Source organism: Homo sapiens, chromosome 1 (genome assembly GCF_000001405.40).
Source record: "Homo sapiens chromosome 1, GRCh38.p14 Primary Assembly".
NCBI classification, from domain to species: domain Eukaryota; kingdom Metazoa; phylum Chordata; class Mammalia; order Primates; family Hominidae; genus Homo; species Homo sapiens.
Window position 1 is genome coordinate 29218572 of NC_000001.11, and position 25791 is coordinate 29244362.

Below are 25791 nucleotides of genomic sequence, written 5' to 3' on the forward strand. Positions count from 1 at the left end.
TGAAGAAATGTTTTATAATAGCTGGGCACGGTGGCTCACGCCTGTAATCCCAGCACTTTGGGAGGCTGAGGTGGATGGATCACGAGGTCAGGAGGTCGAGACCAGCCTGGTCAACCTAGTGAAACCCCATCTCTTCTAAAAATACAAAAATTAGCCAGGTGTGGTGGTGTGTGCCTGTAGTCCCAGCTACTTAATTAAGGAATGTATGTATTTACACATAGCTGGAGGACGGGGAGCCCTTGTAATAGTAATAACTACTGTTTATTCAGTGCTTACCAGTCAGGCACACTGCTAAGTGCTTTACCTGCCAGCCTTCCTATTACAATAGCTCTCATACTATTGTTCTGCTTTTACAGCTGAGGAACAAAGGCTCTAAGAGGTAAACAACTTGCTTATGGCCACTACAAAGTAGCAAGTGGCTGACCTGATTTGAACCTGGCAGTGTGATCTAGAGAAGCCAGCAGGTAAGGGGCTGACCCCACACCAAGCAGAGGGCAGTGAAATGAGCACAGGCTGGACCGGCTGCCGTTGCCTTATGGGGAGATGGAGGGAGCGCTAACAGGTGGGCACTAAGCAAGGAGGCATCAGCCCAGATAGTGATGTTTCACTCTCAATGTGTGTATTAAGTCTGCATTCAAAAGAAAAATCCTGCCCAGAGCAAATGGATTTCGGACTAGCTGCCCCTTTGTATTATCCACAGTGCTTCTCTCCTGTATTTTCACAGATCATCAGAGTTTTTCTGTAAGCTGACAAAATTCATGTGCTCAAGCTGTTTAAAGACATTTTTTCTGCACATTTTCTATACGTTCTTCCTATAGCCCAGAATGTTTTCTTCCACAGCTTCTCTATGAAGTGAGGAATTCAACTCACCCTTCAAGGCCCAGTTCAAAGTTTACTTCCCTTAAGATATCTTTTGACCCTCTTCCTAGTCCAGAAAAAAAAAAAATCACTTGCTCAGTATTCCCATTGTACAGAATTATACATCATGCTATTTAAGACTATCTCATATGAGTTTACTAATGTTTAGTTTGTGAAGCCATTTCATACATTTTTTGTCAATTGATCAGGACAAGACATAGGTTCACAATCCCTTTTCCAAAACTCTTGGGGCCATGTATTATCTACATACCCAATGGGGGCTGTTGTAGCACCCTGTGATCAGATACATGAATGTTTCTGCAGCAAAATGTAGGAATACTCAGGCTAAGTGGGATGAATAAAGACCACATAAAAACCTCGTTAGATCGTTTCCTTCAAATGAGTTATAGAAAAAACCTGTCAGTTTCCAGCGCTTTCAGGATTTTGGAACTGCAGATACAAATTTAAACTTGGATTCAGGTCTTTCAGACTCTGAGTTCAGAGCTCTTTTTACTTATCACCTAGTTTTGCAGTCAGAATATGTGTATATGTGCTATCTCCTTGTTAGACTGTGAGCTCCCAGAGGGCAGAGAAGTTTTAGTCTTAACTCACTGTTGAGCAAATGTCTGGGATCGAACTTTTCTCACTAGTGAGAAAATGTGGCATAACTGCCAGTCATGGCCAGGCATGGTGGCTCACGCCTGTAATCCTGGCACTTTGGGAGGCCGAGGAGGGTGGATCAATTGAGGTCAGGAGTTGGAGACCAGCCTGATCAACATGGCGAAACCCCGTCTCTACTAAAAAAAAAAAAAAATACAAAAATTAGCCAGGCATGGTGGTGTGCTCCTGTAGTTCCAGCTATCTGGGAGGCTGAGGCAGGAGAACTGCTTGAACCTGGGAGGTGGAGGTTGCAACAAGTGGAGATCACGCCACTGTACTCCAACCTGGGCGACAAAGTGGGACTCCGTCTCAAAAGAAAAAAAAGTGCCAGTCATTTAGGAAATCAGGCGCAGGGCCCAAACCAAAGGGACTTAGCTATTTGAACTTGCTCTTCCTCGTTTTAGGCTGTTTAGGAAAATACTCCTGCAAGATGGGCTCAAATAAAGATGGAGATTATCCTTAAGAGCATTCAGTCTAGGCATACACATCTCACGTGCAGTGACACTGCACTTCTTAAAAATCTAGATGACCGTGGTCAAGATGAGAATACAGGTAGATCTCAGTTCATAGATGATGGGTAGAGCACAGATCTTGAGTGAAGCAGACAGCCCTGGGTTTGAATCCTACCTTGGTCATTTATCAGCTAGATAAACCTCAGAATATTCCTCCGTAAAATGGGATAACACGAGAACTCAGTTCACGGGATTAAATGAGTTAATGTATGTAAAGCATTTATGGTAGTACCTACACAGTAGATGCTGAAGAAATGACAGCTGTTATCAGTTGTAGGAATATCCAAGGAAACCTCTGGAACAATTCCCTGGTTATACCTCTGAAAAGAATCACTGAGTCACTGAAAGGAAGACAGCAACGTTTTGGAAAATTCAAGTAAACGTAATTCAACAAATATTTATGGACAGTCGAAGTATCAGATACTGTGCCAAGGGGTTTCATGATGAATAAAGGTGGGCATGGTAGCACGCACCTGTAGTCCCAGCTACTTGGGAGGCTGAGGAAGGAGAGTTGCTTGTGCTCAGGAGTTCAAGGCTATTGTGTACCATCATCACACCTGTGAATGACCACTGCACTCTAGCCTGGGCAACAGGAGACCCTGTCTCAGGGGAAAAAAAAAAAATCCCCTTCTCAGGGCCTTGATGGACTGGGAACCCATCCGTGGAAACACTGGGAGAAGGGCTATAATAGAGGGAGGCTTGTGGTGCTGAGGTTGGCTGACAGTGTCTAGCCTGGTGGGAGGAAGGAAACAGAAGATTAGAAAAGGGTCTTTGGAAGAAAGGATACCATAGTTTGAAGGATAAATAGGCATTTACAGGGCGGATGGAGAAAAGACAAAAGGTTTTCCTGCCAGAGGGAATGACAAAGAATCTGACCCAGGAGTAGACCAGGCAACAGGTGTAATCTGCATAAGAGCCAGGAGAATGGAGAGGATTCAATAATGTAAAATCTCTTAAATAAGCGACACTAATGTCACTTGGTGATCAGTTCCATGTGGCGGGAGGGAAGAGAAGTCTTTGATGGCTCCCAGGCCTTTGGCTTGGACAACTGAATGCTGAGCTAGGGAGGAAGGAAGAGTAGATTTGGAGAGGGGACACAGGTGACCTGCAGTATGGATACAGAGCAGAGAGTGCTCAGGGCTAGACATACAGAACTGTGAGTTGGCTGGGTGGGTGGAGTCTAGGAGAGTCGAAAAACTTATTCTGGGTGATTTCACTGAACAATGAAATGACAACTTATGTCGATGGCTTACTGAGCTCCAAGTATGCTTAACATTTTATATACATGAGGACTGACTGCCGTTCAGTCCTCAAAATGCCTATGTGGAGGGTGGTATCACCCAAATTTAATGGAAAGGAAACTGAGGCTCAGAGAAATAATTTACTCAAGAGTCTTGATCTTAAGCTAGACTCCAAAATGCAGGCTGTTGAACCCTACACCAGCATTCACTACGCTGTGTGTGCTGAATTTTTCTTGGAGATACTGTTAGGTATTTCTTTTCTTTTTTTTGAGACAGAGTCTCGCTTTGTCGCCCAGGCTGGAGTGCTGTGGCACAATCTTGGCTCACTGCAAGCTCCGCCTCCCGGGTTCAAGGAATTCTCCTGCCTCAGCCTCCTGAGTAGCTGGGATTACAGGTGCGTGCCACCACGCCTGGCTAATTTTTTTTTTGTATTTTTAGTAGAGACAGGGTTTTATCATGTTGGTCAGGCTGGTCTCAAACTCCTGACCTCATGATCCACCCGCCTGGGCCTCCCAAAATGCTGGGATTACAGGTGTGAGCCACTGCACCTGGCTGTTAGGTATTTCCTGCGATCCAATTTGTTTGGGAAATGCTGCCTACTAAGCCCCTTTTCTAAGATTCTGACTACACGTTAGTCATAAAGGCTCTGAGAAGTCCCGGAATAAAGAAACCCATGTGGCCTGTGTCATCCAGAGCTTTCCAGATTTAATGTGGGCTGGGAACATTACAGTATTTTCACAGCACAGCCTGCCCCAAACAGCAGTTTGAGAAACGATGCTCTGGGCCCCTCGTTCTCTTCTTTGTCTTCTGGGAAGCCCAGCAGCTCTGCCATTTGAGATTCACTGAAGTGGGAGAGAAGGAGAGTGAAGAGGGCCAAGCAGGGGTGAGGGTTTAGGAGATGGGAAGTTAAGTTGAAGCTGCAAACACAGGTGGATGGTGTCGGGGGCTGGCCCCACATTTGCTGCAAGCCTGGGGGTGGGGGGGTCCAGCTGCCTCTCACCAGGGAGGCCAGCCTTGGCCTGCCCCAGGGAATGCCATCAATACCACAGACACTGCTGTTCCTGCAGACAGTGCTAACCATGTTGTCAAGGATACCATTCTGCTGAGACAGGAGGGAAAACAGGGACCAAGTCTGAATTCCAAGAGTTAAACCTCTAGTGTAATGATAGCAATTTCTTCCCTGTTCTTTAAAAAAACAAACAAACAAAACTCACCAAAGGAAACAGTGGCTATGTTTTGGAGTACAAATGAGGCACCCAACCCAGCCTGGCTAGATCTCAAATTGCTTCCCCCATACCGTTCACGTCCTCCGTGAATGTAATGGCGCCATGCAACTCGAGGGGATGCCACTGTCCTCAATCAACAGATCCCAGCCTGGATAAGGTCACAATGGCTCCTTTGAGGCCAAGGCTGTACACCTGTGATGCCATATGAAGTACAAGGGAGACAAAAGCAGGCAGAAGAAAGAGCCTTTTGAGAGGGGGGAAAAGAGGCCAGTACCCTGGGGACTGGCACAGTTATACTTGCTGTGTAAGGTGGGCATTAGCTAGCTCTGCTGAGATATCTTTCCTGCGTTCCACATTTAATTAGCAATCATTTGTACTTATCTTTCATCTTTTACTCAATCACATCAAACGGTCAATATCATTTTGAGCAGGAAGAAGAGGTAGGGAGAAATTGTCACTGGCCAGAGACTTTCTCGTCTACTTAGTACAGAACCAAGAATGTTTGTGTCATCACAGGGCACCGACTTAGTACAGAATCAAGAACGTTTGTGTCATCACAGGGCACCGGGTGAATGTAACTGACCCTCCTGTGGTCCTCCCCAGTCTGTCTGTGGTCCCCTGGTCACCAAACTGCCTTCTGTGATTCAGTGAAATGCCTGGTGTGCTAGGTACATTGTTCTGGGATTTGACTAATAATTAATAAGCAGGGCACAACTAGGCAATTGTGAAGGAATGAAGTTCCTCAGCTCGCAGCTTGTAAGGGCCTGGCTCCCAGGGAACTAAGGGAGTCCTGGGCTCTCGGGGAGAGCTCCTTTGCCTGAGCAAAGCTCCTTTGTTCCAGGTGGTTTGGTGTGCTGGACACAGCCACACCCTCCCTGCACCTCTTACGGCTTCCAGGACTCCCACCATTCAGGACTCATTTTTTGGCTCTTTAGCACAATTGTTTTGAACTGAAGGAATCAGAGACTTAGGGCAACTTCTGGAAGTTTCTACCCAGTTGGCAAAGAAACCTTCTCAATCCCCTACTTACCCTAAACTAAGAGGACCAGAAAGTCTGCAGGCCCCATGATATGCTACATCTGCTGACACCAGGGAAACTCCACTACAAGGGAGTTGCAGTCTGTCACTCAACTTGCTGAGGACCAACTCTTGGGGGCACAGTCCCTACCTGCAAGCTGCTTGGATCTCTTTGACAGGTAAAAACACAACCATGCAGCTCCTGTCTGGCTGGAGGCTGGGAGGGCTATTGATTGTGTAATGAACCAAGGGCCAAGAGGGGGTCCTTGGTAACATCTTGTGCCCAGGATCCCAGATTTCAAACAAAATCATTGCTCCCTGGAGGCTGCTGGAACAACCATTGGTGAGCAGGCAGTCAATGCCTGTGTTACTTTCCTAGAATTGTCACAGCCGGACAATTGTTGGAGCAAAGAGGATTCACGTCTCATGATAATTTCCATGGCTGCAGTGTTATGCTGAGAAGGATGTTGAGGGCCCGTCTTGTCTTGGCAGGAAGAGCGTTGTCTGGGGAGAATGTGATAAAGAGGTGTGTAGGTTTTGAGGTCTACAGAAAGGGACTGTGAAGGTCTGCATGGGGACAGCACACATACCCATATTTACCACTGCTGACCTTGGTCACTCTCTTCATTTTATCAAGGAGTAACTGAAGATAATTGGAGACTAACGTGATTTCCTCACTGCCATAATTAGTGGCAGAGGTGGGACTGGAACACAGGCAAGAAACATCCCAAGTCACAGGTTCACCTTGTGTCATCTTTGCTTTTCCTTCTCTAAAATGAGGACCCCTCCCACCTCACCCAGGGTGGGAAAGGCCAGTTCATCCCAGAGAGCTGCTAGGAGAGGGCAAGAGACAACTTGGAGTGGCTCCGAGGGGCAGCTTTCCTCCCGGACTCTCTGGACGGAGGGAAAACCCCAGTCTTTTGTGTGATTCCTAGGGGGTGTGCCTGCAGCTTTCACCTTCAGAGGCAACAGTGAGAAAACCAGGGTAGCAGGGCTTGGCCCTAAACTCCACAGCCTAGTCTAAAGGCCAGATGGAAGGTAATGTATGAGTTATAGGATGTGGAATCCGCTTAAGCTTGAGCCCTGTGATCTAAGGGTAGTCCCCTCTGAGCTGGTTTCAGCAGACACCTTTCTCACAGGATTACATGAGTGCACAGTAGGCAGTCAACAAATACGGACTGATCACACACACCATGTTTTCTCTTCCCTCGGGGTCTCTGCACATGCAGGTTCCTCTGCTTGGGACATTTCCCCACTTTCTCTCCTCATACACTGCTCACCGGATCTCTGGAGCACTCAGTTTACACCCTGTCTCTTCAGAGAACACTCTGACTAACCCGAGGGGGTTAGGTAACCCCCTTCTGGGTGTCCACAGGACTCTGAACATATCCCATCACAGCATTTACCCCACTGGACTATGGCGGCCTTTCTCCTGGATTAGGCTGTGAGGCTCTGAGGGCAACGACCACAACAGATTCAACTCTGTACCCTCAGTGCCTTGCACTCAGTAAACTCTCAAAGAATACATGCTGGCCAACTTACTATATCAATGCCTTCTGTTCCCACTCCATTCATGACCACAATAAAGAGCTCTAAACAGAGCACCAAACCCAAAATGCTATTTTTTCCCCAAAGTACTAAAATGTGGGTTTAAAAATCAAGTCACCTGCAGTTTTGCTTTATATTAACTGTAAAAAGAAGAAATTCCTGAGAGTAAACAGTGCCCTATAGTGAGAATGGACAGACTGGGGCCCCACTACCTGCTCCTCCAAAGTCCATCTGGCTTAAGACAGAATGGGTAGGCCGGGTGCCGTGGCTCATGCCTGTAATCCCAGCAATTTGGGAGGCTGAGGCAGGTGGATCACCTGAGGTCAAGAGTTCAAGACCAGCCTGGCCAACATGGCGAAACCCTGTCTTCACTAAAAATACAAAAATTAGCTGGGTGTGGTGGCACGCGCCTGTAATCCCAGCTACTCAGGAGGCTGAGGCAGGAGAATCACTTGAACCTGGGAGGTGGAGGTTGCAGTGAGCCGAGATTGCACCACTGCACTCCAGCCTGGGGGACAGAGCCAGGCTCTATCTAAAAAAAAAAAAAAAAAAAAAAAAAAAAGACAGAACGGGTATATGTCCACGGGTTTCCAGCTCCAGCTTAGTTTCATTGTTGTACTAGCAGCAGGCAGGTGAGAAAGCCAAGATGATCAGGATGCTGTTTTACAAAAGCCTCGGGATCCTGAAAAGGGGAGGAGACAGAGAATGGTATTTCTAAACTTTCCCAGGATTGGGGCTGCCCTTTCTACAGCGTAGAAATTTGGGGTTACCTGAATGACCTACAATTTCACCTTCTCTTCTGACCTTTTTCCCAATTTTATAGTCCATCTCATTCTCAAAAATCATTTGAGACTTTGGGAGGTTGAGGCAGAAGGATCGCTTGAGCTGAGGTGTTTGAGATCATCTTGGGCAACATGGTGAAACCCCATCTATATTTTTTATTTAAAATATTTAAAAAAGTTTATTTGAAGAAATCATTTGAGGTGACTGCTGTTGTTTCCTCAGGCCTATGTCTATATCAAGGACTTTTAATAAAGAAGGGGCATCCTAGCTGTAAGATCTCGGATAAGTGCCTTTCAATCTACTTGAGCTTCAATTTCCTTATCTGTAAAGTGGAAGTAATAATAACCAAACTGGAGTGTTTTGATTTTAAAACCCCGTAATATACAGGGAGCATTTAGTCCAATGCTTGCTATACAGCAGGTATACAATAAATGAAAGCTGTTTTCACCAGAAGATCCAGAGAATGGCAAAGTTCTGAGCGGACTTTCAGGAAAAAAAGAAGGCAAGAGAAGAACTAAGCGTTTCTGGGAACTATCTTTTTTTTTTTTTTTTTTTTTTTTGAGACACAGCCTCACTCTGTCGCTGAGGCTGGAGTGCAGTGGTGTGGTGCAATCTCAGCTCACTGCAACCTCTGCCTCCTGGGTTCAAGCGATTCTCCTGCCTCGGTCTCCCGAGTAGCTAGGATTACAGGCATGCACCACTGTGCCCGACTAATTTTTGTATTTTTAGTAGAGACAGGGTTTCGACATGTGGCCAGGCTGGTCTCGAGCACCTGACCTCTGGTGATCCGCCCGCCTCGGCCTCCCAAAGTGCTGGGATTACAGGCATGAGCCACCATGCCTGGCCCCTGGGTTTCTGGGAACTATCTGATAGGGAATCTAGAACTCTGCACAAGGGACAGTGGCTATGGAGAACTCTGAAATTTCTCAAATGTTTGTCATTCTTCTGCACAGTCTTACTTTACTTAGATCTACAGTTTAATCTTTTAAATAAAAAAGGCCCAAATACTTATTTAGGGAATCCCATTTTGGAAGAAAGGGAAAGAAACTAAGCAACAGGGGAAAATGGCTTAGGAGAGAACAGCTGCAATGTTTGGAGGCCAACAGGAATGAAAACAGGGACGTGAGAACAGGAGAAACCTGGAGGCCTCCTTTTGAGGATTCAGACCTGAGAAGGCTGTTCCTCATTCCTTCCCTCCTGCTTGCAGAGGTGTGGCCCACAGCGCAAGCATCACAAACCACACTAGTTCTGACAATGCTCTGTTCAGACTCTAGGTAGTCCCATGACCCCTACCTGGTGTAACCTGACCCAGACAGCCAGTTACCAGGATGTGTAAAGGACACCTGATTCTTTCTGTGACAGTGTGGTTACCCTAAACCTTGTAAGACATGACTACAAAGAGAATCCCAGTCTCTGGCTTCAGTCCATACGAGAACAAGTAAAGCCGCCTGAATCTGGGTCAGAAAGTAAAGTTGCCCTTCTGGAGCACGGAGAGAATTACTGCTTGTCTGACAATCTGTATCCACAAGGCAGTGGTTCTCAAGCCTGGCCTGGGCAGCAGAGTCACCTGGAGAGCTTTGAAAAAAACAGAAGCTCCAAGCCATCCTAGACCTACTAAGTACCTCAGGAGTGGGGCCTAGGAATACATACGGTAGTTTCTAAAAGCACTACAGGTCAAGCTGGGTGTGGTGGTACACACCTGCAATCCCTGCTACTCAGGAGGCTGAGGTGGGAGGATCCCTTGAGCCCAGGAGTTCAAGACCAGCCTGGGCAACATGGCATGATCTCATCTCAAAATAAATAAATAAATAAATAAATATATATATAAAATAAAAGCTGTCTGATATTTTATGTGGGCAAATACAAAAAATAAAAGCACTACAAATGGTGACTGTGCTGTGAAGCCAAAGTTGAATATAATGCTTTGTGGAAGTATCTTTTTTTTTTTTTTTTTGAGAGGAAGTCTTGCTCTGTTACCCAGGCTAAAGTTCAATGGCGCGATCTCGGCTCACTGCAACCTCTGCCTCCCAGTTCAGGCAATTCTCCTGCCTCAGCCTCCCGAGTAGCTGGAACTACAGGCTTGCACCCCCATGCCCAGCTAATTTTTGTATTTTTAGTAGAGACAGGGTTTCGCCATGATCTGCCCATGTTAGCCTCCCAAAGTGCAGGGATTACAGGCATGAGCCATCGCGCCCGGTTGGAAGTATCATGTTTTGAACTAGAGGGAAATTACTGAAGTTCCACAGAAGGACATAATAGAAGCTTTTTTTTTTCCTAAGTGGCATCTGCAAACAGACCGGTCTGTTCCAGCTTCTCTGGCTCTCCAAGAGGAGGGAATCAATTAGGAGGCAACTGCATTCAGCTGAACTTTCCCAGGCCTTCCTCATCACCACAGCAGAACTTAATAAAAGGTTCACTTTTTTTGGAAATTTAGATTTAGATTGAACTAACATTTTAGGAGCACCTGTTTTGTGGCAGGTCCTGCTGCAGACACAAACTACAAGTCCGTGGGAGAGACACTACATGGTTCTCATTTGGGGTACATTCCTGGAAATGGAGGAGTGTTCATCAGAGCTGTACCAGTTCCTTACAACGCAGTCCTTAGTGAGATGTCTTCCCTGACACAATGCTTTATTACCTACGATCAACATACAATTTGGAGTTTACTGACTGATGTGTCTTCTTGACATTCTTTTCGTTTCTATAATGCGGGATGTGGCTAGGCTGATTGGATGACCTTGAATTTATCTGAGGCTTATCCTCACCACCTGTCAAAACATCTAGCTTGATTTTTTTTTTTTTTTGAGACAGAGTCTCGCTCTGTTGCCCAGGCTGGAGTGCAGTGGCGCAATCTCGACTCACTGCAACCTCCGCCTCCTGGGTTCAAGCGGTTCTCCTGCCTCAGCCTCCTGAGTAGCAGGGATTACAGGTGCCCACCACCAAGCCCGGCTAATTTTTTTGTATTTTTAGTAGAGATGGGGTTTCGCCACGTTGGCCAGGCTGGTCTAGAACTCGTGACCTCAGGTGATCCACCCGCCTCAGTCTCCCTAATGCTGGGATTACAGGCGTGAGCCACCGTGCCCAGCTCTAGCCTGAATTTTAACCATTAAAGTAATACCACATTTGCCCATCCTTTGGAAAATAATCAAACTATTTGCTGGGAATCAAAGAGTTAAAAAGAAGGTACTGCACAAGAGTATGCAGGTGTTTTTTGGTGGAGAGCACTACATAGATCTTAGGTGATTACCACTATGAACTTTGTCTGTACTGTCTCCATTTTTTAAGATGATGAAACCGAGGCTCAGAGAACCTCAGTAACTTGCCAAATGCAAAGCTAGGACAAGGATTTGACCCCAAGTATTTTGATTCCCAGACCTGTGCTTTTGCTTTAGCTCCACTTCAGTGGCCCCAATAGCCCTTCTGAATGGCTATTTATGTGCAGATTTACAATGGTTGGCAACTGACATACTATTTTTATCAACCACGTGCAAAAAGCATGAATTAAGATCCAACAGAATTTTAGGAGGAGGACAAAGTCATAAAAGTAACGAGAAGTTGAATGACTTCTCTAAGACCAAACAGCTACTAAGACGTTGAGCCTGTATTTGACCAAATATAGATACTTGGGTCTGTATGGCACCAAAGCAGCTCTTTTTAACCAAGCCAAGATGCATATACGGTGCAGTGGAGAGAAACATGAGTTTGGAATCAGAAGCCATGGATTCCAGTCTCCTGTTCCAATCACTTATTAGCGGTATCACTCTGGGCAAGTCCCTTGCCCTCTGGAAACAATGATCTATGACCTACTCTTTACTGACACATGAAGATCCAAATGGATGTAAAAGTATTCTGAAAACTTCTTCCAAATAATAATAATAATAGTAAGAACTCACGCAGGTCAGTCAGACATAGGTTGGAATTCTGACCCTGTCACTTACTGGCTGTGTGACCTTGGACGAGTGATTTTACCTCTTCTGCCTCAGTTTTCATCTGCAAAATGGGGATAAATCAATAACTACCCCAAAACATTGTTGTGACAATTAAATGAGAGCATCCATTTAAACAAGGGATTGCCTGACACAATATTCGATCAATAAACATCAGCCATTAATACCCTGATAATTGCCTCTCGGGTCTTCAGCTACCTTCAAGTACGGTCTTTCTGACCTACCAAAAACGCCCTGGGCTTCGGCTTCGGTTTGCTATTCTCTGCCCCCTTCCTCGGACCCTGTCCCTCTCTTCCCAGTCCGCAGCTCGTGTTAAAGCCTTCCAGAAACCCCAGTCCCCTTCCCCGGCTTCGGCGCCGTCTCTTACTCGACGACCTTGGCTGGATCCCCGTGGTGCCCATAGACAAGCGCCCGGACCCGGGCAGGCTCGGCGGATGCGGAGTAGGAGGAGGCGGCAGGTCCGTGACAGCCAGAAGCTGGGAGCAGCCCCCGCCACTGCCGGGCGGGGGTTCGCACCCGCCACAGGGTACTGCAGACCCACATGCTCGCTCCAACCAACACAGAGCCTGACGCCCCGGCTACGTCATCTTCCAGCGACCGCGCGCCTGCGCCCCGCCCCTGCCCCGCCGGGTGACCACTCCCCCTTGGTCCCTTTGAAGGGCGTTTCCTTCCTTCGCTGCCCAAGTGGTGGCGCCTGGCTAGACTGCGTGTGGGCCCCGGAGGGATCCGGGGGTGCGGAGCTTGCGAGGCCGCCAAAGCTGTTGTCTCAACAAGGAGAGTCTGGGGCTAGTCCAAAGTCGTGTCTACAGCCTGCAGTTTGGTGTTTGATTTGGAGGAAATATTTACTCTCCCTGGCCTCAGTTTACCCTTCACATAATATATTGAGTGCTCACCGAGCCAGGCTCTTTAAGGTATTATCTCATTTAATCACCACTACCATGTAACGGCATAGGGAGGCAAAGCTTACTTCCCTACACTGAGGAGAGTACACGAAAGCTGCTGTGGAGGCAGGAGTATGGGGCTTGGAGTTAGAAAACTTAGGTTCAAATCCTAGCCCTGCCACTTCCTAGCTTGGCCACCTTGGGCAGGTGAAACTCTGAATTTTTCTCATCGGTACAATGGGGATAATATGCCTCCTTCCGGATTGTTGTGAGGATTGGATGAAATAATAGAGGAATGCTATTGTGGGTGGGAGAACGCATTGTAAAAAACTCTGTTCAGATGTAAGACAGGAATCACAAGGAGAAGGGTCCTCTCTCAAAATGCTCACAGTGTAGAAAGGGATTAAGTGGAACACTGGAAATGCCTGTAAAAAGGTGTAGCCCTATGAAGGATCTAGTCTGATTTTTGGTGTAGGGAAGACATGAACATTACTAAAACCCCAGATCGAGCTGTGGCTCGTGCCAGAGTGCAATGCTGTAGTCTGAAGAGAAGTGCTCTGGGATGGGGTGGGATGGGGTGGGGGCTCTTGGAGGAGGTGCTGTTAGAGCCAGCCCTGTGATTCAAAATCTTCTGTGTGCATAAAAATAATCCGAGGTCCCATCTTAGACCTACTGAATTAGAATCTTGCGGATGGGGGTTCCAGGAATCTACATCCTTACAAGCTCCCAAGAATATTCTGATGCAGGTGTCCCAGGAAACAGGTTTTAAGATACTGAGCCAGGGCTTTGAAGGATAAGGAAGAGTTCCTTTCCTGGATTTTATTGACTTGAAGCTTGCCATCTCCAAGCCTTTCCTCTGAGGAAGAGAGCACAGCAAAGTACTGTGAGCTAGATTTGGACAAACCTGGCTTTATGTCCTAGCTCTGCCATTTTCCAGCCATTTGATTTCGGACAAGTCACCAGGCCTCTCTGTGTCTTCACTTTCTTACTCTTAAAATGGAAGGAATACTAGTTATCTGTTTCAAGATTGTTGTGAGGGTCAAGTGAGATATTATCCACTTGAAGCATTTAGTACAATGCTTGGCACATGGAAGCATTTGATAAATATTATCGGGGGTTATTGTGATTAAATGAGAAATATCACACATAAAACCCTCAGACTAGGGTCTGGCTTATAGTATGTGCTCACTAAATGTCTGTACTTGTTTTTATTATTAGAGAAAGTTGGTGTCCCATGGTGGGGGAAAGGCTTGGCCCCACATTTATGTGCCAGCACACACACGATGACCAGTCCTGCTTACCCTTTTCCCCAGTGACACATAGGCTTACTTGAACTGGGAAGTACAACGTAACCTTCTGTTGTAAGACTCCCTAGGTGACATTGAGATGTCGACATTCTCTTCTTCACCAAATTGGCTCCTCTGAATTTCTGGGGAGCCCAGTCAGGAAGCCTGAAGAATCATCCAGCAAGTCCTCCTCCTTGGGGCTGGACTTTAGCCTCCTGTGCATCCCAATAGCCCTCACTTTTAGTCTAGGCCATCTGGGTTCTTGCAGGGGCATAGTTTGAGAACTACTGACTGAGGGGTTCAAGTCCAATTTCCTGGACTTGCATTCAAGATTCTTTGCACTCTGACTCCCACACTGCATTTCCAGCTTCATCTTCTCCTGTTGGACCGTGCATAGCCTGTGATCCAGCTGCATCTGATACCCGTCTTCCCCAGTGTGTCTTGTGCCTTTATTCAGGCCACTCCTTCTGCCTGAAATGCTGTTCCCTGCCTCGGAAACTCCAGGTTCAGATGTCATTTCTTTGATGTTTCAAAACTCCCTAGGTCATCTGCTGCTGCCTTTGTGTTTTCCCTGGAGCTGTGTTATGGCCTTTAGTACATCGTCTCTTATTTATTCCCCTCCAGGCAAGACTGGAGCCATGTTTGGTTTATCTCCATAACACCAGCACCCGATATGAGCCTGGCACAGGGTAGGTGTCATAAATATTCCATGAGTTGCAGGTAATTGAATTTCCTCATGGCCTAGAACGGTCTGTGGTGCCATCTCCTTTTCCCTAGATTTGGGCTGGTCACTCCAGGCCAGGAATTTCCTTCTTCCTTCTTCTCTCAAGGATTATAGAAGTCTGTGGTCTTTTTTTTTTTTTTTTTTTTTTTTTGAGACAGAGTTTTGCTCGTTGCCCAGGCTGGAGTGCAATGGCGCGATCTTGGCTCACTGCAACCTCCGCCTCCCAGGTTCAAGCAATTCTCCTGCCTCAGCCTCCTGAGTAGCTGGGATTACAGGTGCCCGCAACTACGTCTGGCTAATTTTTGTATTTTTTTTTTTTTTAGTAGAGACAGGGTTTCACCATGTTAGTCAGGCTGGTCTCAAACTCCTGACCTCGCCTCTGCCTCCCAAAATGCTGGGATTACAGGTGTGAACCACTGTGCCCGGCTGAAGTTTGTGGTCTTTTAAAAGTAAAGCAGAAAGTCCTCTTCTCATCTGTCTACCTGTTGCTTGTGTTCTCTTTCTCCCTCCATTATAGTCTCTGCCATCTTCCCCTGCACAAAGGGCAAAGGGATGTGGAATCAGTCAGATCTGGGTTCAAATCTAGGGCCCGCCGTCTATTTACTAGCTGTGTCACCTTAGGCAAGTGTCATATGCTCTCTGAACCTCAGTTTCCACACCCGTAAAATGGGATCACTGGTAAAACTCCTATTTTGAGGCTCTCTCAAGAGCCCTCTGCAAACAGCACCCTTGGTTGTTTCTTCTGTTCACTGGTTTTCTCTCCTTGAGTTTCCTTTTCTGGGTGGGCCTCTCTGGCTCCTCTCTGCTCCAGCGTCTCTGTATCTTAGTTTCTTCCCTAAGGTTTCCCCTTGGTTTCTTCTTGCTTCTGCCTCCCTCTCCCTATTTAATTATCTGTGTCTAATTCTTGCCTGCTGTGTCTTTTGGTCCCTTTCCTAACTCAGTGTGGAGCTCATCAGCTCTCACAAGAGAGGAGACCAAGAGCCCAGGAACTCTCAACCCAGCGATACCTCCTCCAGCCCCAGGGCAGCTTCAAGGTGTGTCCATCTCAGCATGAAGCCAGCTAGGAGGGGCAGGGCACAGGGAGGGCCTACATATACCTTGAACTCCTACGCTTTGTTCAGTGTCACTGCCCAGTGGTCAGACCCATCTGCCCATGGCTTTCCCTACTTCAGCAGTCTTTATAGCTGGAGCTGTAAAAAAAAAAAAACAAAAAAAAAAAAACCCAGAGATCAGAACTTATTACTCCTTATTACTCCTCTGCTTAATTACTCCACTTCAGTGGCCTCCCATTAATTACTCTTAGGGTTGAACCTCAAGCCCCTTCCTTGCTCATAGTTTCTTGCCTGACCTACAGACCCTGCTGACTTGTCTAGCTGCACCTGGCTCCCTTCTGCCCCTGACTCACTCCATGCCAGCTGCCCGGCTTCCTTGCAGCTGCTTGTACCCACCAGCTCCTGCCTTTGCACAGGCTGTCCCCTCTGACTGCAATGTTCCTCTCCACTGATTTGCATGAGGTTGGCTCCTTCTCATACTTCAGGTCTCAGTTCAAATGTCACCATGTCACTTCTATAGCAAAGCCCTCTTGGACCACTTATCTAAAGGAGATGCCCCTTCCCTATGTTCTTTATCATTATACTCCCTCGTTTCCTTTAGCTTGCATATCTTAGATGGTAATGATATATTTATGTACATGTTTGCTGTTGGGCTCTCCTAATAGAATGTAAGATTCATGAAGGCTAGGACCATTTCCCTTTCATTCATTCCATCCAGTCAGTATTTATTGAGCATCAATTACGTGCCAGAGGCCGGGCGCGGTGGCTCACGCCTGTAATCCCTGCACATTGGGAGACTGAGGCAGGTGGATCACCTGAGGTCAGGAGTTCCAGACCAGCCTGGCCAACATGGTGAAACCCTGTCTCTACTAAAAATACGAAAATTAGCCGGGCGTGGTGGTGGGCACCTGTAATCCCAGTTACTTGGGAGGCTGAGCCAGGAGAATTGTTGGAGCCTGGGAGGCAGAGGTTGCAATGAGCCAAGACTGCGCCATTGCACTCCAGCCTGGGCAACAAGAGTGAAACTCCATCTTGAAATAAAATAAAATAAAATAAAATAATAAAAACATGCCATATACTGGGCACGGAAATACAAGATGAGTCTTTTCCCAAGGGAGCTCATTTCTAGAGGTGGAGACAGATAATGAACTCATCATATAGCCCGCACTCTATTTGAAATTGCAACAATTCCCCTTCCCTTCCCTGTCCCCCCACCACCCCCAAATTTCCTGGTGTATGAGACAGTGATAAAGGACGTACACCAGAGGGTTTGCTTTTTTGTTTTTGTTTTTTTGGTTGTTTACTGTTCTTGTCTTCCCACTGGAATGTAAGGTCCATGAGAGTAGGGAATTTTTGTCTGTTTTATATCTCTACCCTGGCCTATAGTAATTGTTGAATAAATGAATAGACCCCAATAAATATTTGTTGAATGAATAGGTGTCCAGATGGGAGGAAGGTCTCAGCCCCTATTCAATTCAAACCAAACAACTTTGATTCAAATCTCGGTGCTGTCAAATACTGTTGCATAACAGTATTTATGCAGTATAATTATTGCATACCTAATATATGATGATTAAATGAGTCCATGTGGGTTAAACACATAGAAGGTACCTGGTCTTACATAGTAATGAGCAACGAGTTTGCAGATCATAGTGCGAGGGCTCGTTCTGGGTAGAGGCCCAAATACATTTAACCTGTGTAGCCAGAAGGTAGAGTAGGACCAGTGAGGGCTAGTGAGGGAGGTAGACTTGCACGTCATGAAATGAAAAACTTTCTAAAAGCCGGCGTTTCCAAAGCCCCAACAACCGCTCTTGGCCAGGTGATGAGCGCCCTGTTCCTGGAGGTATGTAGAACACGCATTTGAAGGCGCCAAGGTACAAGGGATTCAGGCATCGGATGGGACAGAGGCCGGGTGTCCCTGGGTCACCGTCCCTGAGAGCGCTGTACGGGAGCTAGGCGTGGGCCATGAGCGTGCTCGCCTGGCAGTGTTGGTGCCCGGTCCGTGGAGACGTCCGTGGGCGTCCAGACCCAGCCGCGGGGCCTCATGGCGGGGAGGATGCGGGAGCGGGGGAGGGGCGCGCCAGGGCTAGCGGGCGGCCGGACCCGCTGCAGCACCCGCCGTGGCCAGCAGGGAGCGCCGCGAGACCGCCGAACCCGCGGCCGGGCCTGACGTCAGCGCCCCGCTTGCTCCGGCTCGCGCTCTGGACTCGGCGCCAGTCCCGCTCCGCGCCGCGCCGCTCCGCTCCGGCTCGGGCTCCGGCTCGCCTCGGGCTGGGCTCGGGCTCCGGGGGCGGCGTCCCCCGCGCCGGGCCCCGGGACGGGCGGCGACGCTCCAACCATGGCCCGTGCCCAGGCGCTCGTGCTGGCACTCACCTTCCAGCTCTGCGCGCCGGAGACCGAGACTCCGGCAGGTAAGCGCGCGGCGGCCGGACCGAGCCTGCCCCGCCGAGCCTCGGGGCCCGTGGCGTAGCTCGGAAGAAAGTGTGAGTGTTGAGTGACCGGGCGTTACGAGCGTGCTCCCTGTGTGTGTCTGAGCGTAGGATGGGCGATTGTGTGCCCGGGGTGTTGCGTGACTGCGAATGTTGTGTGTCCGTGAGTTCTGTGCGCAAGAAAAGGTGATGTGTGTCGGCGAGTATGTTGGGGGTGAATGTTGTGTGCATCGAGGCATTGGGTGTGCGCTGAGTGTCTTGTGGGTCTGCCAGTGTGTAGTGTTTGTGTGGCCAAGTGGGTTGTGTGTGCATCTGAGTTTGGTTGTGTTGCGGGAGTTGTATCTGCTAATGTGTTGCATTTGTTTGCATTTTGTATGCCTGGCCGGGAGTGCTGTTTGTTTTGTGTCTGCGAGTGGGTTGTGTGTTTGTGTTATGCCTGTGGCCAAGGGTGCTCTCTGGATCCCGCCTGAGTGTGGATCCGGGAACGCGTGTGTGGCGTGTGTGCTTTTGAGATCCGTGTACATGTGTGAAGGCGTGGGAACGGGTCCGGAACGTGTGTGTCCGTGCGCTGTGTACGTGTGGGGAGTGTCTAGGGTATGTGGTGTGTGCTGCCGGGGGCCGCGTGGGTCCGAGTGAATGCCAAGTGTGCCGGGAATGCGTGTGTGGGAGCGAGTCTGGAACGGATGTGAGTGTGTGCGAATGTGTCCGTGTGTGCTGGCTGCGCGTCCAGGAATGTTGCGAGTGTGGAGCGCGCCTGGGCCGCGGCTGCGAGTGTGCCCTGGTCCCGGGGCCGCCCGAGGGGGCGGTGGCAGGACGTGTGTGCGCGCGTGTGCGTGTGCGCGTGTGTGGCGCGCTGGGCCGGAACAAGTTGTCGCGGCGGCGCCCCCTGGGCTGCCCGGGTCGGGCAGGGCCCGAGGCTCAGGGGAGGACCGGGCCCCGCGGCCGCCGCCTCGGGCATGTCGGACTGTTTGTTGTTTCGCAAGTTCCGCGCGGCGCTGGCGGGCGGCTGATCCGAGGCGGCGCCGGGGCTGCGGGGCGCCCGGGCCAGCGGGCCCCAGCGAGGGGCCGGCGGGCGGGCAGGGGAGGGCCGGACCGGCGGGCGCTCCTGCGGTGGCCGGGCCGCGGCTGCGCCCCGGGCGGCCGGGCGGGGGCTGTCCCCGGGCTGGGCTGCGACGTCCGGGCGCGGGCAGGGCCTGGCTCGCCGCCGGGGGACGGCGCCCCCTCCCTTGGCGCGCAGGACGCGCGGGGGACGCCCGGGCCTCCCGGGACACTCCCTTGGTGGAGCCTGCAACTTTGTGCGGCCTCCCGGCCGGCCGGGACCGCCAGGTGTGTGCTTGAGTGTGAGCGTGAGTGTGAGCGTGTGGCTCCGCGCTTGTCTGCTGTGTGGTCGCGTTCTCCGGGTGTGTTTCGGAGTCTGGTGTCTTTGGTGTGCGTGCGCGTGTGTGTGTGCGCGCAGCTGAATGTATGTATACGGAGCCTGTGTTTGTGTGTCCGTGTGCTCGTCGGAGTGTGGACGGTGTGTCGGATGTGTGTGCGTGCGCGTGTTCCACATCCCACCCTGAGGCCTGGGATCCTAGACCGCGGCCCCTTCCCGCGGAGTTTCGGGGCCCTGCTCCGGGTGACCTCCCCCGCCCTCGCCACCGGCGGGGCTGCTCCGCGGGCTCCGGGTAGCCGGGAGACGCCCGGGGCGGGATCCGAGCCGAGACACGTGCTGGAGCGGAGCCGCTTCCTCACGGTCGCCAGCCGCAGACAACTGACCTCCCCGGCATCGCGTTCGCGGCCCTGCTGCTGGCTCCGGTGTCTCGGGCCGGAACTCCTGTGGCTCCAGCGTTCGCGCCGGCCACTGGCCAGCGCTTGGGCCTCGCCCTGCAGCTCCGGGGCCATAGGGCACAGCTTTAGCTTTGACCTCCCCGTTCCCGAAAGGACGCCCAAGGCGACCTCCCACCCCATCCTCCCCAACTTCTCCCCCATGTCCTGCGGCAACTTTGCCTCCCTCTCCCACCGTGAAATCAAACCCGCGGGGTTCTGTATGCGCCCCATCCCCGCTCCTACCACCATCGCTTTGATTTCAAGAACACTCACAAGCCCCAAGCCCTGCCAGCAGGAGGACTGTCAGGAACTGAAGTTTGGGAGTGAGGCCTAGAGCAGGTTACTCCCATTCTTGATGCCTCAGTTTCCTCTTCTGCCTCATAGCCATCATGATAATGGTGTATGGCACTTTTGGTAGATACCAAGTACCTTGTAAAGTAAGGCTCTGTCTGTGAGTGCCAGGGAACAAAAAATGGATTTGAGAGTTGTTGCAAAGCCCCAGACAGAGGCTGTGATTTAAAGCTGGGGTATTAGGTGTCAAATTCTGCCTCTGCTACTTGCTATTCATGTGATGTCTGGCAAATCACCTCACTTGTAAAGTTCCTGGCCCCCTTTGTTATTCTTAGAGATGAACTCAGAAGCCCAAGTAGAATAGATGTGATACCCCTTGTCCCCAGTCTGGACAGAGTCAGCCCAGCTCCCTGAATGGCTCCGGAGCTTCCGGGTAGGGGCGGTGTGTGATGCCTTCTCAGCCTTGCAAACCTGGTAGTTATTTATTCTGCTGTGTTCTTGCTATTTTGTCCTTTTGGTCGCAGGAGTTGTGGACGGCAGGAATGAGGGAGTGGCTGCCCAGTGGTTTCAGGTTGGGCAATAAAGGCTTGTCTGGGCATCCCTCCCTTTTCCCTGGGGCTAGGGGAGGGGACTTAGCAGGAAGCAGTGACAGTGGCCGAGGTGGGGACGCTGAGCTCCTGGACAGCCTGCTGCCCAGCTCTGGTGTCAGAAAAAACCTAGGGCAAGCATCGTGCTTGATGGAGACAGGCCACCATCCTTCCATGATTTTCATCAGCTCAGCTGGGCATATGGGGTGGCCTTTCCATGCAGGACTGGGTTGGCCAGAGTTGCAGGGGGTACCTTGTGCTCCTCCTTCCTCCCCCTCCCCCCTTTTCCTAGTTGCCCTCCTGCATCCTGGAACGTCCTGTCTGCCCTCTCAGAGACTCTTTCATCTGTCTCCTTCTGTCCGTCCTCAGCTATCTTTCACCTGCAGGAAGACTCCAGCCTCCTCCTTCCCTCTTTCCCTCATGGTGCCAGGGATCTTTGTAAAGTACATTTTAACTCAAAGGGTTTAAAACCCTTTGAAGGCTCCCCATTGCCTTCAGGGTGAAGTCCTTATCCCTTGGCCCTGTTGCTGGCTCTAGCTCCTGCCTGCCTGTCCAGCTGCATCTTGTTTTGTGTCACTGCCCCTTGCATCCTATGATCTGGCCAGCCTGACCTTCTTACCAAAGACCCAAATGCCCACAGCCTGCTGTCTCCTCTCTGGGCCTTTGGGCAAGCCGTGCTTTCTCTGCAGAACTTTCTAACTCCAGCTTTTTGCTGGTGAACTCCTGCAACTTGATGGGCTCTCAGCTGTAAGCATCATCCAGTCCCTGAAGCCTTCCTCGGTGATGCCCTGTCCTAGCCTAGGAAGTCGGGGGGTGGGGGTCAATTGGATTTTTACATAGCATTGTAATTATTGTAATTACAGTTTATTAGTGCTGTCTCCCTTACCAGACTGAGAGCTGAGGACAGAGACTGGGTTTTTAGTTTACTTCTGAATCTTAGTGCCAGGTACAAGGCCTGGCCCACCGGGTCTGAATAAATATATATGGCCTGAAAGAATAAAGTTTAAGGGGGCCAGGTTCAGAGGTGGAGATGCCAGATGGGGGTGCACTGATTCCACTGAAGGTAGAGATTGAAGAACCAGGTTTCCCTCCAGGAATCTGGAAAATTCCTGGAGGGTGGGGGATGGTGTTATGTTGTGAAAAGGCCATGTTGAGAGTGTCATCTGGGAGCTTTGAGTTGGGGAGGTTGAGTCCCTGGCAAGAGACTGAAGGGAACGGGCCTCCTGCCTGCCAGCCCCTCCCCCAGGCTCTGGCCCCACCCCTAGCAGCTGGCAGGGCCCTTCCAGCCCCCAGTCTCAGGCTTTTGTGATGGGGCCTGGCAGTTGGTGAGACGTTGAGTCTCAACGGTCTGTGTGAGTGGCTGGGGAGGAGGGAGGGAGCCCGCAGGGCCCTGTGTTAGGAGAGGGAGGGAAGCTTCCTGGAAGACCCTCCCTTAGTCCTCAGTCCTAGATCCTAGGGTGGGCGGGTGGGGTCACAGCCTCTGTTCTCACCGCTTGTGCACCGGAGGGAAGGGAGGAGAACTGCATCCCGTGGTGGCCCTGGCAGATGGGGTTGGGGAGGCTGGCTGAGGTGTGTGCAGATGTGACTCTAGCATCTGGGCAGTCAGAGTGGGGGGTGTGTAGGGATTGTAACTAGGGGCATGGACACATGTGACCTGTTAGGGTGTCTAGCCATCTGGTTATCGTGTGGTGTGGCAGGATCTGAGTTTGGAGTAGGGAGGTAACCAGCTGCTTTGACCCCTGGGGAGCCTGGTGCTAAGGGTGTCTGGCTATCCAAGTATCACATTCCTGGAGTTGGGTGCAGAGCTATTTGGATGGGTGGTGTCTCGCTATCTAGGTGTGGACAACCCAGTACCAGCATGTGGGAGGATCAGGGTGTGCAGACAGAGGCTATCCCAGCATCCCTGGGGCTGGAGGTGGGTGTATCCATGTGTCTGGGAGTCCTCAGGTTAGTGGGTATTTATAAGTGGGGAGTGTCTCTGTGTTGTGTCCAGGTATGGGGCTGGCCAGGTGCCTGAGTGTCTGGTTGTAGGGGTCCCCAAGTGTCCGGGTATCTGAGGGTGGGGGTATCTGTGTATGAAACAACAGGGACCCAGTCATTGAAGTATCCAGTTGTTAGTGAGTCTGGGTGTGGGGTGCCATGTGTCTATTTTTTTTTTTTCTTCTTCTTCTTCTTCTTCTTCTTTTTTTTGAGATGGAGTCTCACTCTGTCACCCAGGCTGGAGTGCAGTGGCGTGATCTTGGCTCATTGCAACCTCCGCCTCCCGGGTTCAAGTGATTCTCCTGCCTCAGCCTCCTAAGTAGCTGGGATTACAGGCGCACGCCACCATGCCTGGCTAATTTTTGTATTTTTAGTAGAGACTGGGTTTCGTCATGTTGGTCAGGCTGGTCTTGAACTCCTGACATTGTGATCTGCCTGCCTTGGCCTTCCAAAGTGCTGAGATTACAGGCGTGAACCACAGCGCACGGCCTTTTCTTCTTTTTTATTCAGATGGAGTCTCGCTTTGTCACCCAGGCTGGAGTGCAATGGCATGATCTCGGCTCACTGCAACCTTTGCCTCCTGGGTTCAAGCGATTCTCCTGCCTCAGCCTCCCGAATAGCTGGGATTACAGGCACCCGCCACCATGCCTGGCTAATTTTTGTATTTTTAGTAGAGATGGGGTTTCACCATGTTGGCCAGGCTGGTCTTGAACTCCTGACCTCAGGTGATCCACCTGCTTCGGCCTCCCAAAGTGTTGGGATTACAGGTGTGAGCCACTGTGCCTGGCCTCATGTGTCTATTTGTATGTTTAGATGTGGAGGTGCCCTTGTGACCTATGGTGGTGTCCATGTATCCAGGATGTGTCCACAAGGGGTGTGGACGTGTTGGGTGGGAATGTCCTGGTGGCTGTACCCAACTCAACCTCTGGTAGCCCCTTCCCTGGGACTTGCCTCCTGATCGCTCTTCAGACTCCAAAGCCAGAAGCCTTGGAAGGGGCCCCGATAGTTCTGTTTTTCAACGGTCAGCCTAGAGCTGTGTTATCTAATAGAACCTTCTGTGGTGATGGAAATTGTCCTCTACCTGCATTCTCCAATACGGTGGCTCCTGAGTCATGTATGGGTATTACATTTAAATTAATTAAAATAAAAATTCAATCCCTCAGTTGCACTAGTCAGATTTCAAGTCCTCAAGAGTCATATGTTGCTAGTGGCTCTCATTGTACTGGTTAATGCAGGCAGAGAACATTTCCATCCTCTCAGAAAGTTCTGCAGACAGCACTGGTCTAGAGGCATGAGGCGGCCTGCAGCACCTTCAGTGAGTCCTGGGCATCTCTGGGAGGGGAATTGGTCTGGATGGACCATGACTCAGTGGCTCTTGACAAAAGGTTTTGTTCAATCCAGGCCCCTTCTCTGCAGCCTTATTAGATCTTGCCTGGACTATTGCAGTAGCCTGGTAGCCTTCTTGGCCTCTACTCTGCCTGCCATCACGCTCTCGGTTTCTTTTTTTTTTTTTGAGATGGAGTCTCACTCTGTCACCCAGGCTGGAGTGCAGGGGCACCATCTTGGCTCACTGCAACCTCTGCCTCCTGGGTTCAAGCAATTCTTCAGCCTCAGCCTCCCAAGTAGCTGGGACTACAGGCGCGTGCCACCACGCTCGGCTAATTTTTTGTATTTTTAATAAAGACGGGGTTTCACTGTGTTAGCCAGGATGGTCTCCATCTCCTGACCTCATGACCTGCCTGACTCGGCCTCCCAAAGTACTGGGATTAGAGGCATGAGCCCCCGGGCCCGGCCCAGGCTTTTGGTTTCTAATGCTTCCACCACCCTGTGGCTGGAATAAGCTTCTAAGGCAGACATAGGATGCTGCCACTCCTTTGTCCCAAGCTGAAGGCTCCCCAGAACTCAGGGGACAAAACCCAAACCCTAGCATAGCACATGAGGCCCTGCATGACCAGCCCTTTCTTTCTGAAGCAGCTTCACATGATGCCTTTCTTCCCTGATCCCACTCCTGCCTATCCGCTGTCTGCTCCAAATCACCAGGCAAATTGCTGATCCAGGAGCCTGCCATGCCAGTTCACACCTCTCTACCTTTGCACACACTGTGCCCCTCCCTACTTCTCACCTCGTGGTGGGGGTGGGGGATCTACCTACTTGTTCAGCCTTCACAGTTCAGCTCCATTGTCACTGATGCAGCGAAGCCTTCCCAGCCCTCTCCCGGTGCAGTTGGTGAAATTTCTCCCATAGTGGACGTCTGACAATGTGCTGCGGTTTTCCATCTCCTTTTTCCACTAGGCTGGGAGCCCCCAGGGGCTGAGCTGTGTCTTTGTCATCTGTGGTCCCCAGGGCCTATACGTGGGAGATGCCCACTAAGTGGCTGCATCTCGATGCCTCTGGGTGCACAGGGAAGGCTTGGAGGGGTGAATGCAGGAGCTGGGGTTCTGCAGCACAGTCATGGGTGGGCTGGCTATGCCTCCTCCTCTGGCTCTGGGTTGGGGGCTGCCATTTCCTGCAGAATGACTGTGGGAGGACCCCTGAGGGGGACAGCTCAGAAGATGCTGCTTCCAGATGACGCAGGAGGTCTTGGGCAGATTCCCAAGATGCAAACCACAAGACCTTGTGATGACTCAGAAGGGACAAGGAGAAAGGGGGCTTGGAGGGCCGCTGAGGCTTGGGAGTTTGAGGGCAGAAGCTGGGGAGAAAGATTGAGATGGGGCTGTTAGGAAGGGGAGATGCTGAGGATATTTGACAGGGCAAGATTAAAGCTAGGGGTGGGGTGACAGCTCAGCCCCCGGGGGCTCCCAGACTAGTGGAAAAAGGAGACGGAAAACCGCAGCACACTGTCAGATGTCCACTGTGGTGGGTGACAGCTGAGGCCTGGGGGACCACTGGCGGATAGAAGATAGCTGGTGGGAAAGATATACCTGGGGGATGGGACAGCTGACAGTGAAGGGACAGGCGGT

General features: G+C 50.4%; 2 protein-coding genes and 1 long non-coding RNA gene across 28 annotated transcripts in view, besides 6 other annotated features; 2 read left to right on the top strand and 1 right to left on the bottom strand.

Annotated features, from left to right (window-relative positions):
- Nucleotides 1-12363, bottom strand: part of MECR (mitochondrial trans-2-enoyl-CoA reductase) — a 63239-nt gene extending 50876 nt beyond the window's left edge. For 9 of the 23 annotated variants that reach the window (XR_007060748.1, NR_146213.2, NR_146215.2 and 6 more), the window contains exon 1: nucleotides 12160-12363. Coding sequence is in view for 9 of the 23 variants with exons in the window: in NM_016011.5 (NP_057095.4) it covers nucleotides 12160-12335 (176 nt within the window). In the remaining 14 variants the exon portion in view is untranslated. Of the gene's footprint in view, nucleotides 1-2262; nucleotides 2372-2503; nucleotides 2630-4568; nucleotides 4690-7180; nucleotides 7458-12159 lie in introns of those variants that run through there. The other 14 variants (XR_007060747.1, NR_146214.2, XR_946663.3 and 11 more) reach the window with 8 other exon arrangements.
- Nucleotides 5182-6245, top strand: LOC124903887 (uncharacterized). Its single transcript, XR_007065564.1, has 2 exons — nucleotides 5182-6040; nucleotides 6152-6245. It is a non-coding gene; the product is annotated as an uncharacterized LOC124903887 (long non-coding RNA).
- Nucleotides 11739-12239: an enhancer, noted in NCBI's record as "H3K27ac hESC enhancer chr1:29556822-29557322 (GRCh37/hg19 assembly coordinates)". NCBI's record gives its function as "activates a minimal SCP1, AML or CMV promoter by ChIP-STARR-seq in naive H9 embryonic stem cells {active_cell/tissue: H9 hESC(naive)}" and the evidence as "EXISTENCE:reporter gene assay evidence [ECO:0000049][PMID:30033119]".
- Nucleotides 12240-12740: an enhancer, noted in NCBI's record as "H3K27ac hESC enhancer chr1:29557323-29557823 (GRCh37/hg19 assembly coordinates)". NCBI's record gives its function as "activates a minimal SCP1, AML or CMV promoter by ChIP-STARR-seq in naive H9 embryonic stem cells {active_cell/tissue: H9 hESC(naive)}" and the evidence as "EXISTENCE:reporter gene assay evidence [ECO:0000049][PMID:30033119]".
- Nucleotides 12265-12374: an enhancer, noted in NCBI's record as "active region_611". NCBI's record gives its function as "activates an Ori minimal core promoter by ATAC-STARR-seq in GM12878 lymphoblastoid cells {active_cell/tissue: GM12878}" and the evidence as "EXISTENCE:reporter gene assay evidence [ECO:0000049][PMID:35858748]".
- Nucleotides 17754-18073: a silencer, noted in NCBI's record as "silent region_556". NCBI's record gives its function as "represses an Ori minimal core promoter by ATAC-STARR-seq in GM12878 lymphoblastoid cells {active_cell/tissue: GM12878}" and the evidence as "EXISTENCE:reporter gene assay evidence [ECO:0000049][PMID:35858748]".
- Nucleotides 17951-25791, top strand: part of PTPRU (protein tyrosine phosphatase receptor type U) — a 90279-nt gene continuing 82438 nt past the window's right edge. For all 4 annotated transcript variants that reach the window (NM_005704.5, NM_133177.4, NM_133178.4 and 1 more), the window contains exon 1: nucleotides 17951-18146. In NM_005704.5, coding sequence (NP_005695.3) covers nucleotides 18074-18146 — 73 coding nt within the window. In that variant the 5' untranslated portion in view covers nucleotides 17951-18073. The remainder of the gene's footprint in view (nucleotides 18147-25791) is intronic.
- Nucleotides 24763-25263: an enhancer, noted in NCBI's record as "H3K4me1 hESC enhancer chr1:29569846-29570346 (GRCh37/hg19 assembly coordinates)". NCBI's record gives its function as "activates a minimal SCP1, AML or CMV promoter by ChIP-STARR-seq in naive H9 embryonic stem cells {active_cell/tissue: H9 hESC(naive)}" and the evidence as "EXISTENCE:reporter gene assay evidence [ECO:0000049][PMID:30033119]".
- Nucleotides 25264-25764: an enhancer, noted in NCBI's record as "H3K4me1 hESC enhancer chr1:29570347-29570847 (GRCh37/hg19 assembly coordinates)". NCBI's record gives its function as "activates a minimal SCP1, AML or CMV promoter by ChIP-STARR-seq in naive H9 embryonic stem cells {active_cell/tissue: H9 hESC(naive)}" and the evidence as "EXISTENCE:reporter gene assay evidence [ECO:0000049][PMID:30033119]".